We start from the raw sequence: 13,181 nt of genomic DNA on the forward strand, positions 1-13,181 counted from the left end.
ATTGCTAAAAACACTTCTGTAAACAGTTCTCCTAGATTTTTATCTTTTCAGCCCCTTGATTCTTCTTGATTAAGTGGCTGCTTTGTGATTGTAGATTTTGCCTGAATGGACTTCAAATAACTTCTTCACTTTAATTGTGTAAAATTTATAGTATATGGTAAATTAGAGTCAGATCTTGAAGTAACACTGTAGGTATCTGTGAGTATAAATAACTCAAAATTGAATCAGTGTAATGAACAGAAAAATTGAGTATACTTTCAGGATTTAGAATACAAAATATGATTTCTGCATCTCAAATTTATCATGTTTTTCTTTATATAATACTCTGGAATGGGTTTGATTAGATCCAGAGTTCTGGGATTGTTGAAGCCATGGAATCTAAAGCTGCAAGTAAGGTTATCTTTTTTGTGGTAGTGCTCCCCAAATCAAAAAGAAAATAGAGCAAACAATTATAAAAGCATTTACAATTTAATTTTTCCAGGAAAGGAAACCTTGGAAGTACTCATCCCAAATAATTACCAATTCAGCATGAAATATAGCTTAAGAAGTGTGCCTGCCATGGTCCCAAGCATTATTGATCATTCTTTCTAATTAGTGTCATACATTTTATTTATAATGCTATACTTCCTTAGTTCTTCTCTCAAGCCTTTCTGTGATGAAAAACAAAACAAAACAACAGCCAAGAAAAACTTAAAGATGCTGAGACATTGAGTGTTGGGTCAGAGAGAACATTGATCCCAAATAGAGCAGTCAGGCTCATGCAGATTAACTCTGCAAGAATAACTCAGAGCCATACATTTAAAATACTACGGATTTACTCATGTGTACCCCTGTGAAGACTGTCTCCTAAATCAAAGGCAAGGGCAATTCTTATAAAGGCAAAAGCCACAAAGTTTCTTAAGGAAGAGGGCTTGTCAATTAATGCAAGCTCTTGGTTTATCATTTAGGGACTAGCATGAGATGATGGCTGAGGCCCAAGTCCGTATGTTGAATTGAGATAAAGTAGTCTTAATTTCATGCAAAAGGTTGTTTTTCTGACAGTTCTAAAGAGAAGAAGTTACTATGGCTCCTTCATCTGGAATTCTGCCTGCTTCCTGTATAACACCTCCAGACTCTAGATCATGTAGCACGAAAATCTGTATTCAGTTTCTGAGGGATTGATTAAACTATCCAGAGCTCCGACAATCAAATCCACTTCTTAGGCAATGGAAAGGAAGATGCACAAGGATAAGAGTGTGCCTTTTTCTTTTAGGGAAGTTTGCCAGAAATACCACACAGCACTTCTGTTTGTAGCCCATTGGCCAGATTTTAATTAAATGACAAAACCTAGCTGGAGGAAAGACTGGAAAACCTCCTTTCTCCATACACATCTAAATAAAATTAGGGTTTTGTCGGTGAGGAGAAAAGGAAAATGATTATTGGGGTAATTAACCAAGTCTCCACCATGAAGGGACACAAAGACTTTTATCCGCAAGTAGCACAAAACGATCTAATATTTCATCAATCTGGCTTCTTTGGCATAATGAGGCATTTCTATCTTTAAATATGTCTTAATAAAATAATACTTAGTAACGTTACACGTTACTTTTAAAAGCTTTTTATTGTTTATCTTGAAGAGATTTCCATATACAAACTGAAATTTAATAACATGTATTTTAAATCATGACCAGAATGAAAGTCAATAGCAGTGCCTCTATGATTAATTTTCTTATGCAATCCACCATATAATAATCATTATATTGTCTCAATAAAATCCTAGTATAATCTCTATGTTTAACCAGCATGGTAGCAAGTAAAACAAGAAAATGTTTTTAAAAAAACTCCATAAATAAACTGGATTTTTTAAAGAGGTTTTCTCAAATGTTCCTGTTTTCCTCTACTTAGGCTCATGGTAATATTGCACTTCTCCACCAATGTGGAATTTATGTGTCAACATATAGCCTATTTGGCCAATGGTATGTGAGGAGAAGTGCTGTATGTTATTTCCAAATGGTAGCTTTAAGAACCAGTGAGAAATTTTTCATGTTCCCTTCTCCTGCCACAACTATCGTTGAAACACATATAGAAAGGAGCCTCCTGATCAGGCATGCTGGCTCACGCCTGTAATCCCAGCACTTTGGGAGGCTGAGGTGGACAGATCACTTGAGCTCAGGAGTTCAAGACCAGCCTGGGCAACATGGTGAAACCCTGTCTCTACTAAAAATACAAAAATTAGCTGGACATAGTGGCGGGTGCCACTACTGGTAGTCATCTCAGCTACTTGGTAGGCTGAGGCATGAGAATCATTTATGCCTGGGTGGCAGAGGTTGCAGTGAGATGAGATTGCGCCACTGCACTCCAGCCTAGGTGACAGAGTGAGACCCTATTTCAAAAAATAAAAATAAAGAAGAAAGGGGCCTCCTTCACCAAGGATCCCTGAGTGTACCCTCCACCATGATAGACATGTAGCATTAGCAAGAAATAAACTATTGTGCTAATCCATTGATACATGAGGCTGTATGTTATTGCAGCATGACCTAGCCTATACTATTAACTGATACTCCTCCTCAGATTCACATCAGCTAATATCTCTCCAAATAATACATTTTCTCTTCTTAAGTGAGTAGTAAAGTATGAAATAGTAAGCATTGTTAAACTGGCTTTAAAATAATGATAGACTCGTCTACTTAAAAAGCCTCCATGAGCTGCTCTTTGTAAGCAATCAGATACATATATTATAAAATAACCCATTTGGAACCACATGAATGATAAAACTTTATATTCATCACACATTTTATGTTGTGGGGACATGATCCATGAGCATAATTAGAGCATTTAGTAAGTTCTTATTCTAATGAAACCCAAAGGAATTATCAGGAACGTATCAGTGTAGACAACTGATTTTAGCCAAACCTTGAAATTAATGAATGGAACAGCTGGGCTCAGAAATGAGTACTTTGGCAATTATTTCTAATGGTTATAAGACCTGCTGTGTTTTTTTTCCAGCAATATTGAGTTATTTAATCATTCAACATATTCTTATTAAGTGGCAACTCAGGCACTGGAAAAACATAAAGATAAATAAGTCACATATCTGGCCCTCGAGGAACCAATCATCAAGCAGAAAACAAAAATCCCTACCAGTGGAGGAAGTTTTACAGTGAAGAAAGTATTTGTTAGTATTAGATGAAAGTATTAGATGACAAAAATACTCTATGATCTGATTGCTTAAGAATATTACTATCTAGATGTTATGGAGAATTTCATGGAAGAGAAGACATTTTAAAAAAAGTATTTTGGTATTTTCTCTTATTATAAACAAATTGTGACCTGAAATATGAGTAAGATCTTGATGGCCAGAATCTAGAGAAGGAGGAGAACTTTCTTATGAGCATAGGAACATGGGTGGAGGGAATTCCAGAAGCAATGGGTAGGGGCATGCAAGGGGAAATAAAAGACATACAAACTGCAGGGCCAATATAGAAGCATAGGAATTAATGTTGAGAAGGTAACAAAGTGTTTATCATTCTGCTTTGAAAGTATTTCTCACAAACCTATGTTTTATTGTAGACTGTATGCTCCATGAGCTTAGGGGCTTCATCATTAATCTCTATGTCTCAGAAGAGCTTGGTTCAGAATTGCAACCAAAAATGAAAGAAGGCCCTGATAGAGATAATTTTCTGGGTCTTGATTTTTGTTAAAAAAATAAATAAATAAATAAAAGACTGGTTGCAGTGGCTCATGCCTGTAATCCCAGCACTTTGGGAGGCTGGGGCGGGAGGATCACCTGAGGTCGGGAGTTCGAGACCAGCCTGACCAATATGGTGACGCCCTCTCTCTATTAAAAATACAAAATTAGCTGGGTGTGGTGGCTCATGCCTGTAATCCCTGCTACTCAGGAGGCTGAGGCAGGAGAATCACTTGGACCTGGGAGGCGGAGGTTGCAGTGGGCCACGATTGTGCCATTGCACTCCAGCCTGGGCAACAAGAGCAAAACTTCGTCTCAGAAAAAAAAAAAAAAGAAAGCTGGATTCTGGAGACTCATGATTTTAAAATATTTCTTTTTACTATGCTGAATAATTAGGAACAATTAGAATTAGGCAAGGGTCTTAGTCTGTTAGGGTGCTATAAAAAAATACTATCGATTGAGGGGCTTAAACAACAAATATTTATTTTGCACAGTTCTGGAGGCTGGGAGGCTGGTGAGTCCAAGATAAAGGCACTGGCAGGTTCGGTGTCTGGTAAGGGCCAAATTCCTGGTTCATAGAAGACAGTCTTCTTGCTGCATCCTCCCATGGCAGAAGGGGTGAGGGAGCTTTCTGGAGTCTTTTTTATAAGGGCACTTATCTCATCCATGAAGACTCCACTTTTCTGACCTTTGAGAGGTCTTCACCTCTCAAAGACCCCACCTCTTAATACCATGAAACTGGGGATTAGATTTCAACAAATGAATTGAGGGGGTCAGGGCAGGGGAAGCACATTCAGTCTATAGTAGCTAGTCTCTAAAGAAAGCAGAGTGAATTGAAGGCCAAGTATGGTAGTTATCTTCCATGATCCTATTCTTCTAGATTAGGATTTCTTAACTTTTGAAAATGTTATCAGGCTCTTTGGTTCTCATGAAGGCAATTGCACTTTGAAGAATAGCGTTTTCTAAACACATAAGATAAGATGTAAGGATTAAGACTATCTTAGTCTGCATGGGCTGCCATAACAAAATACTATGGACTGGATGGTTTAAATAACACAAATTTATTTCTCATGGTTTTGGAGGCTGGGAAGTCCATTATCTGGGTGCTGCAAGATAGATTTTATTCTGTGTCCTCTTCTGGTGGCTTGTAGATGGCTGCCATCTTATTATGTGCTCATATGACCTCTTCTACATGTGAGAATGGGCAAAGAGAGAGAGCTCTCATGTATCTCTATTTATAAGAACACTAATTCTATTGGATCAAGGCCATTGTGATCTCAGTAAAGCTTAATTACCCCCTTATATTTCTCATTTCCAAATACGGTCACATTGGTGGTTAGGATTTTAACATATAAATTTGGGGGTGAAGGGCACCATGCAGTCCATGGCACAAAGGAAATGAATATTACAATAGATTATCAAAATATTTTAAGAGTGTAATATAATAAAATATATACTTGTTTATTAATAGACATAATGGTGAAGTTAATGCCTACTATACTTTAAAAGCAGTGATGAACATAAATAATATCTTAAGATATGAACTGAGATGTAGTATAAACGTATCTGTGATTATTTGGTGACCAAATCATAGATATGCTTAATACTACTGTGGTTTGATTTAAATTGTTGTTAAGTTAGTGGAAGTCAAGCTGAAATTTTTTCCCCATTGACATTTGTAGATCAGCTCTGCCCTTCTATCTTAGGACTCCTTGCTTTAGACACTTCTCAACTGCTCAGGGGTCAAGGTGGTGCAAAAAACAGCAAATATTTCATTTTTACTTGCCTCTAGATATCCACTGGGCCTTTTATTGAGAAACACCTATGTATATCAAGATAGAATGAATCTAAAACTTAATGCTCTCTAGTTTTCATGATGCATGTGGCATTCAAAGGGCATGATGCATCAAAACTAGACTTGAACCAGACATTTTGCTATTTGGTTGAGATACAGCCTTGAATGTCTGTCCTGAATTAACTTCATGAAGGCTTATGATAAACATCTCCCTAACCCTTTTGGTAGAGGTTTGAGTAGGAAATCACTTTTTGGGTTGATTTAGTCATACCCTTAAGCGAATCAATCCAATGCCATTTTTATCATTTTAGCTTGAAAAGTGATGCATACCACTACTGCAGAGGAAAAAGAAATATTACCCCTTCACACCTCAAAAGTAGTTTCCACTCCCTGACTCTGGGCCACTACTGGGTTAGCAGGAAATATTTCACTGGTTGTTCTACAGTATTTTTTTTTTTTATAATTTTAGCCTCTTTTGATTCTATTTTTTCCCTAAGGTTAAAGACTTACTGTTCTTTTAATTCAACAATAGTTTATGAGCATTTAGAAAGTGGTAGTGTGGACTGAGGTGCAAGGATTAACAGAAAGGTAAATAAAGTTATTTTCCATTCTGTCTTTGGGACCCCGAAGTTTTGTAAAAATGTTAGATTTATCACTGGCTTTCTAGACTCAGAAACATTCATCAGGTAAAATAGAATTTTTCCAGTCAAATTATTTCATCAAATTATTTTCTGATGTCTTTTGTAATCATGATAACCATTGGATTCATTAGCAAGTCAAAACAAATATCTAGGTCTGCAATGTGTTCTGTCTAGCTTAAACAGTCAATGAATTGTTCTGGGTTTGAGAGTCTCTTTTTGGGGATGAGGCAACTCTGATTTCTTCAAAAGGTACTTTCCTTACTTGTTTCCAACAAAATAGGTAAAGACAAGGAAAAAGATATGAAGCCCAAATTGGTCTGCTTTTCTACTCACTATAATAAACATGATTGAACTAGAGATTACAAGGATTGAACAAAATGAGGTTTGGAAATTATCTGTATATTTTAATCAGGCTTTCTACCCAGAGTTCCAATATCAAAGAAATAGCAATGGAGCCAAATATGGAGAAATAATAAGCAGTCTTTGTTATTCTTTCTATTCTGTATGGTCTCCCTTATAAATGCTAAGATATCCATTTATTGTGTCTATAGCAGTGGTAAAATGTTTATCAAATGTGCAAATTATGTAAAATAATAAATGTTTTTTTAAAAAGGTATTACCTTTTTTTAAAAAAGATATAATTTATAGTGCTAACCAGAATACCTGTGAGTATAATTAAGCCACAGAATAACTGTAAGAAGTGGTAAGTAACCTCATTACAAATGTGGTGTAAAGAAAATACAGTACAGTGTTACTCATCAAAATCAAATGGTGAAAAGGAATGGATAACTTTAGAATAACTTTACATGTAAAGAGTCAAAATATTTTACAGCATCAAATTCAGGGAAAAGCAGATGTCAAAGTGAGCAAATGTGGGGTTTTGTGTTCTCAGAAAAAAATCACGTAATCAATATCTCTAAACCAAAATAGTAATTGACAGCTTATTGAGCAAAATAATCATGAATATTACAAGAAGAGTGATATGGGTGAAATTGATGGGTTCTGGAAGACCTGGAACCTTTCAAGGGAGGCAGTTGCTTCAGGCTGTGATCTACTAGTTTGTTTTTAGAAATGCAATCAGAAATTAATCAAATTCCGAAGTCTTCTTATACCTTTCTAAGAAACAAGCAAATGTGGAGATAATAAACTTAGAGAAGGAAATTTTATCAAGAAAGCAATTTCTAGAACCACTTTTGGAAAAAGTACCTATTTAGTCCTAAATTGAGATCATCCACGTTTTGAGTCTTTGGATTAGGGTTTCTATTATTATCAAATTTGTACTTCTCTATAGCACTGTATTTTAAAGTGAAAATAATTATTTTATCAATTTTTTTGAAAAGAGTGGTGGAAATATGGACGTTTGTTAGTTTTCTTTTTGTATTTTTATGTTTTTTAATTTCTAAAACAATGTGAACATCAAATAATATTTGAAATATGTCTATGGTCTTTTCATATCATTTGTACTTAGCCATAACTTTCAAGGCTCTATATGATTTAACTAATATGAAGAATTGTTTTTGAGTTTTGTTTGTGTTGTTGATGTTGTTTTCCTATTTTCTTGTGTCAGTGATGATATGAGTAGCAGTGGGAGTGACACTGATCAGGGCTGTTCCGATTCCCCAAATGTCTTACATACCTGTGAGTACCTAAATAAAAGTTTTTATTTGTTTTCATGTCTGATTTTTATATGCAAAGCATAATATGAAATGAGATATTCAACAGGGATGGTTACAAGAATAGACAGAGTAGTAAGCCCTGGGGATTGCTGGCTGATTTGAGGCTGAAGCATAGGTCCTGAGTCTTTTCCCTTGATGACCCTTTGGACAACTCTGCACACATCTCTCCTTTCACTGCCAGTCTACTTCCCTCCAATGTACAAATAATGTGTTTAGATATATGGCCTATATGTCTCTTCTGGCTTATTCCAAATTGTTTAAACTTATTTTGGGGACAGGTATCACCAAGTTTAGAGTTGTAAGGGGAGCATTTTATTTCATAAAATTACTTTATGAAATAACTATAGGTCTAGAAAAGATGGATATAATGATCGGTAGAACAAATGGACATAGGAATGTTCTGGTTATCTAGAGCTGTAGAACAAACCACCCCAAATATACTGGCATAAAACAACACAAATTAATAATAATGGTTATCTCTCATACATCTGGGGTGACTGGGCTTAGCTGTGTGACTCTAGCTCGCGGTCAAATGGAGGCTGGGGCTTGAGTCCTTTCAAAGTCTTCTTCACTCACATGTCTGGCTGTTAATGCTGCCTTTTGTTTGGGACATCTGCTGGGGCTCTTGGCCTGAACACTTATTCATGGCTTCTCTATGTGGCCCAGGCTTCTTTATGGGATCTCGTTAAGTTCTAAAGTGAGGTGAACCAAAAAAGAAAGAGTTGGCAGAATTCAGTTACATTATTTGATCTAGTGTCAAAAATCACACTGCTTCACTTTTGCTGCATTCTAGCATACAATTTGTAAGGATCAAGTCACTAAGGCTGGCCCACTACATCATCATATTTAAGGCAATATCAGATAATGTGTGGACATGTTTTAAAACTGCTAGATAGATAAATGGAGCTCTATGGCACAATAAGTTAGTGTGCCATACTTAGATAGATAAACATATAGATAATACATCCTTTGTTTCCAGTTTAAGTTATCCATTGTACCCTGTGAAACATTGCATAGTCCACACAAATTTGAAGATTCTTGGATGACCACTTTGTTTCACATATCCTGGCTAATTTTACACATTAGTGAAATTCTTCGTAATGAAATTATGTATTAAGGAATCTTTATAGAGGGTCATAATTAAGCATTGTTTCATAACAAGGTTGATCTAGGGTCACTGTATTTTCATTAACAAATGTACATATCATCTTCTAATCTTACATGCTAATGTTATGAACATTTTTTGATACCAAAACTTTAATCACTAAATGAACAGCACTTACAAAATTATATGTCAACAAGCTCTGTTTATGTTTTGCTAGCAATTAAGTCCACTTTTATCAGAGAGTTCTTCTGCTCCATGCATACTGTTCACCTGGGAGTGAAAGGAACTTCAAGCCTAGAGCTCCGCTTTCTTCCCTTTAACATGCACGTGCGCTACTGTGTCATCATCTTGAGCAACAAAAAGGTGAGAACAGAATTGTGATCTGTGTGTTTACACGAGCTGTCACTTTAATGGAGTAACGAACAGCAGGTGACTTGAAGGCAACTGAAGACTCTAGAAATGTGGATGATTTCAGCTCTCAAGTTACTAAGCAAAGAGCTTATCCTCAAGAATATCCACAGTTACACTAGTTGTGGGTAAATTTTATAATAGCTGCATAAAGCAGTCCCATGGGAGCAGAGTGACCTTTTTGTGGCTCTATTTGTATTAGTTATCCATAGCTTTGTAACAAATTATCACACACCAGGTGGCTTAAAACAAGACATGCTTATTATCTCACAGTTACTGTATGTCACAGGTCCAGATATGACCTAGATAGATATTCCGACGACAGTCTATCAAGTCTCCATTCAAGGGATTGACCAGAGCTGGATTCTCTTCAGAGGTTCAACTGAGGAAGGATCTGCTTCCAAACTCCCTCAACTTGTTGGCAAAATTCATTTCCTTATGTCTCTGGGATCCATGCCACCTACACTTTCAAAACTAGCAAGGGAGAGAGACAGAGAGAGTTAGAGAGGGGGAGAGAGACAGAGAGGGTTAGAGAGGGGGAGAGACACAGATGTGAGAGAGAAAGAGAGAGAGAGTTAGAGCCACCACTGAGGGAAGGTTTATAGCATTACCTGCTTCCAGAGAGACACTGCCATGTGTTGACCTTAGGAAGAAATTTATAACCCCCAGGATGTAGTCCCAAATTTATCATCAGTTATATGTACACTAAATTGAATACATATACAGTGAAAAATGGTAATTGGAAAGAGGTATTGTACTTACCTGGTGTCTATGGCAGTATTTACATGTGAAAAATAATATACCTATTAGAAATGTAAAATATAGTTTAATTTTACACTTAAAATTACCACTTAGAAGGAAAAAAATGCCTTTTTATAGTAATGCTGAAACTTGTTTGTTAAATTCTTTTAAAGGAGATCAGGATTTAAGTAAATTCCTGCATATATAAAATTTGTGAAATGTAATAACTATATTGTGACCAGTAGTTTGATCAAATACTTTACAGTCACTTTTGTATATTAATTTGTAATATGACCCAACAAAATACTAGAGTTAATTCTCAATAGCATAGTAACAAGGTTGATTTTATTCTTTGACTTAGTATATTGGAATATTAATATTAGCTTACACAAATTTAATATAATTAATCAAAATATAATTAACATGTTATCTCAATTTACTAAAAACTAAATCTTGCTTACGTATGTTTTGTCCTTGTCAGAGAAAACATTAAAATAAAACAACAATCTTGAAATTATACTGCTATCAATTGAGAAACAATGCCCTCAGTACAAAGTATTGCATTGAATTAATGTTTCTTACATGAAGAAGATCTATTGTTTTACACGTTGCTAATTATATTAAAAATATAATAGTTAATCAAACATGCAAGCTCACCTAGTTAGCTACTGTTCTTTTTAAACGGGCCGTAACTGCTTTACCATTAAGAACCACCTGTTGGCCGGGCGCAGTGACTCAAGCCTGTAATTCCAGCACTTTGGGAAGCCAAGGTGGGCAGAATACCTGAGGTCAGGAGTTTGAGACCACCCTGGCCACATGGTGAAACCCCTTCTCTACTATCAATACAAAAATCAGCTGGGCATAGTGGCACGCACCTGTAGTCCCAGCTACTCAGGAGGCTGAGGCAGGAGAATTGCTTGAACCTGGAAGGTGGAGGCTGCAGTGAGCCGAGATCATGCCACTGCACTGTAAGCCTGGGCAACAGAGTGAGACACTGTCTCAAACAACAACAACAACAACAAAAACCACCTATCGAAAACTGAAATTAGACCCCTACTTGATAGTTTTCCATGTATAAAATTGAAACATTGCTACCAACACTGTTACGAAGCAAAGACTATTTCTTTCATTCTGGCTCTTCTGTTTGAATTTTCAAATAAAGTTGAAAAGATTTAAGGAACAACTATTTAAAAACAGAATAGTTTTACAAATCTTACATTAGTGTTCATAGAAATTCTTAACTAAGGGAGAAACCTATGAAAGCCCTGAAAATTCGTGCTATCAAATGCTACAGAGCCAATAATGTTTTGCTCCAACATGGAATGGAGCAAATTAGGTGGAGGAATTTCAAGCAGAATCAGTGTCCAGTCCCTGGTGAATTGTACCTTTTAGGAGGAGGGGTTGACAGACCCCTTTACAAAGCACACAGACGTTGCAAAACACACAATGATGTATTGATAAAACCTTGGGGTTCTGTCTTCACTGTAGTGTCTGTAGTGTCTAGCATGTGAACACCCACTCTGTGTGATCCTGGGTTTTTATGCAGTAAACCACTTGGCATTGCTGAGCTGACCTGTGTAAGGGAGGCAAGGGTATAAAAGAGGATGCCTGACCTGGGGGCTGAGTTAACAGCGGGTTCCAGTTACAGCCATTTGCTGTGATATAGCCAGCCCCCTCCCAACAAACCTTCAGTGTTTTTTATTGACTTGACCCAGAGCCTCCCTTCCACCTGGTAGATTTATCTTCTGGCCTTTTTTGTTCTCTGTCTACAAACCTTGCTTAGAACAAATTGAGACCAAAGTCCAGGCATTGCTGAATTGAAGAAGCCAGAAGGGAGGTCAGCATCCCAGAATAACTTATGTGAATTGGTCAGGCCCACACCAGGGTGCCATATACCAAAGTGAGTTTCAGCCTTGCCAAGTCAAGTTGGAGGTTAACAGGGAAAGCATGCCCACTCCCAGGTAGAAGACCCTGCAAGGCTTTCTTGTTGATTTATGGCCTATAATAATTTAGCCTAAGGGTATGAAGCACCAGTTCTTAAGTATATTAATGTCACTTTGGCCATCTCCCATATATTTGCATAAATCAATAGGGCCACTCCTCTGATTCTTTCCACTCTCAGTCATTTCGTTTTCTCTCAGTCTTTTGTGTCTTCCTGTGTCTGGTGATGCAGAGATTAAGTTGGCAGTCTCTAATATGCATATATTTAAATATTTTCCAAGAATGTGCAACTTTTTTCAATTATAATGAATGTTTATAACATTAATACAGAATTTAACAGTATTGATTTTGCTTGTTTATTGAATGTGAAGGTAAAAACATTAAACTATATTATGCTAAAATCTTTATGTGATTTTATATTTAAGCAGACTAACTTTTGTTTTATTAGAGATATATTTATAGCTTGAGGAACTGAGTATTATTTGAGGATGCTTTCTTTTTTATTTTTCATGATTTATAATGGCAAGCCCTATTTCATTTGTCCTTTGATTTTTTTATTCAATTTTCACAACTTTTTTCTTTTTTTGGGGAATGAGGATAACTACACACCTCCCTACAGGTAACACCCCTGAATTCCTGGGGAAACATAGGCAAGATGAAATCCCATTTGGCCTATAATTGCTTTGAAGCATTTGTTAACCTCATAAAGCCTGCTGCCAATATGGGGGCAGGTTATGTCAACCTTGAAGTCTCTGTCAATGTGGCATATACTCACAAAGTTACAAAGATTCTCAGCTCCCTTCATACTGCAAGGCCTTTTTGCTCTTCAGCCACCCTCCTTTCTCCTATTAACCAGAAAACCCTCATCCTACAATAAGCAGTGCAGACTTTTTCAAGATAAACATGAAGAGAAAAATCTGAAAATTAGAATTTTGTACCTAATTGTCAGTTATTTATTTTTGGGCTACTCTCTTGGTTCCTTATCAACGGTACTATCAGATAGACTGTAAAGAGTCCACATGCCTGAGGTACCAACATTTTAGCTCTAGGGAATATCACCTCACATGACATGGCACAGCTGAGGAAACAGTAATTGCTATTTTCCAAAATCAATACTATTTTTATGGACCCTCACATTCTACAAAGAAGTTGTAGAATATAGAGAATGACTATATCACATTTTAAAAAGTTTGTATCCTTCAAGCTG

At 36.4% G+C, this 13,181-nt stretch overlaps 1 protein-coding gene across 2 annotated transcripts in view; it reads left to right on the forward strand.

The window, feature by feature from the left end:
• CFAP47 (cilia and flagella associated protein 47) overlaps window positions 1–13,181 on the forward strand; it is a 465,584-nt gene that overhangs the window by 261,216 nt on the left and 191,187 nt on the right. For both annotated transcript variants that reach the window (NM_001304548.2, XM_017029452.2), the window contains exons 41-42: window positions 7,671–7,741; window positions 9,102–9,247. In NM_001304548.2, coding sequence (NP_001291477.1) covers window positions 7,671–7,741; window positions 9,102–9,247 — 217 coding nt within the window. The remainder of the gene's footprint in view (window positions 1–7,670; window positions 7,742–9,101; window positions 9,248–13,181) is intronic.

Source organism: Homo sapiens, chromosome X (genome assembly GCF_000001405.40).
Source record: "Homo sapiens chromosome X, GRCh38.p14 Primary Assembly".
Lineage (NCBI taxonomy): Eukaryota > Metazoa > Chordata > Mammalia > Primates > Hominidae > Homo > Homo sapiens.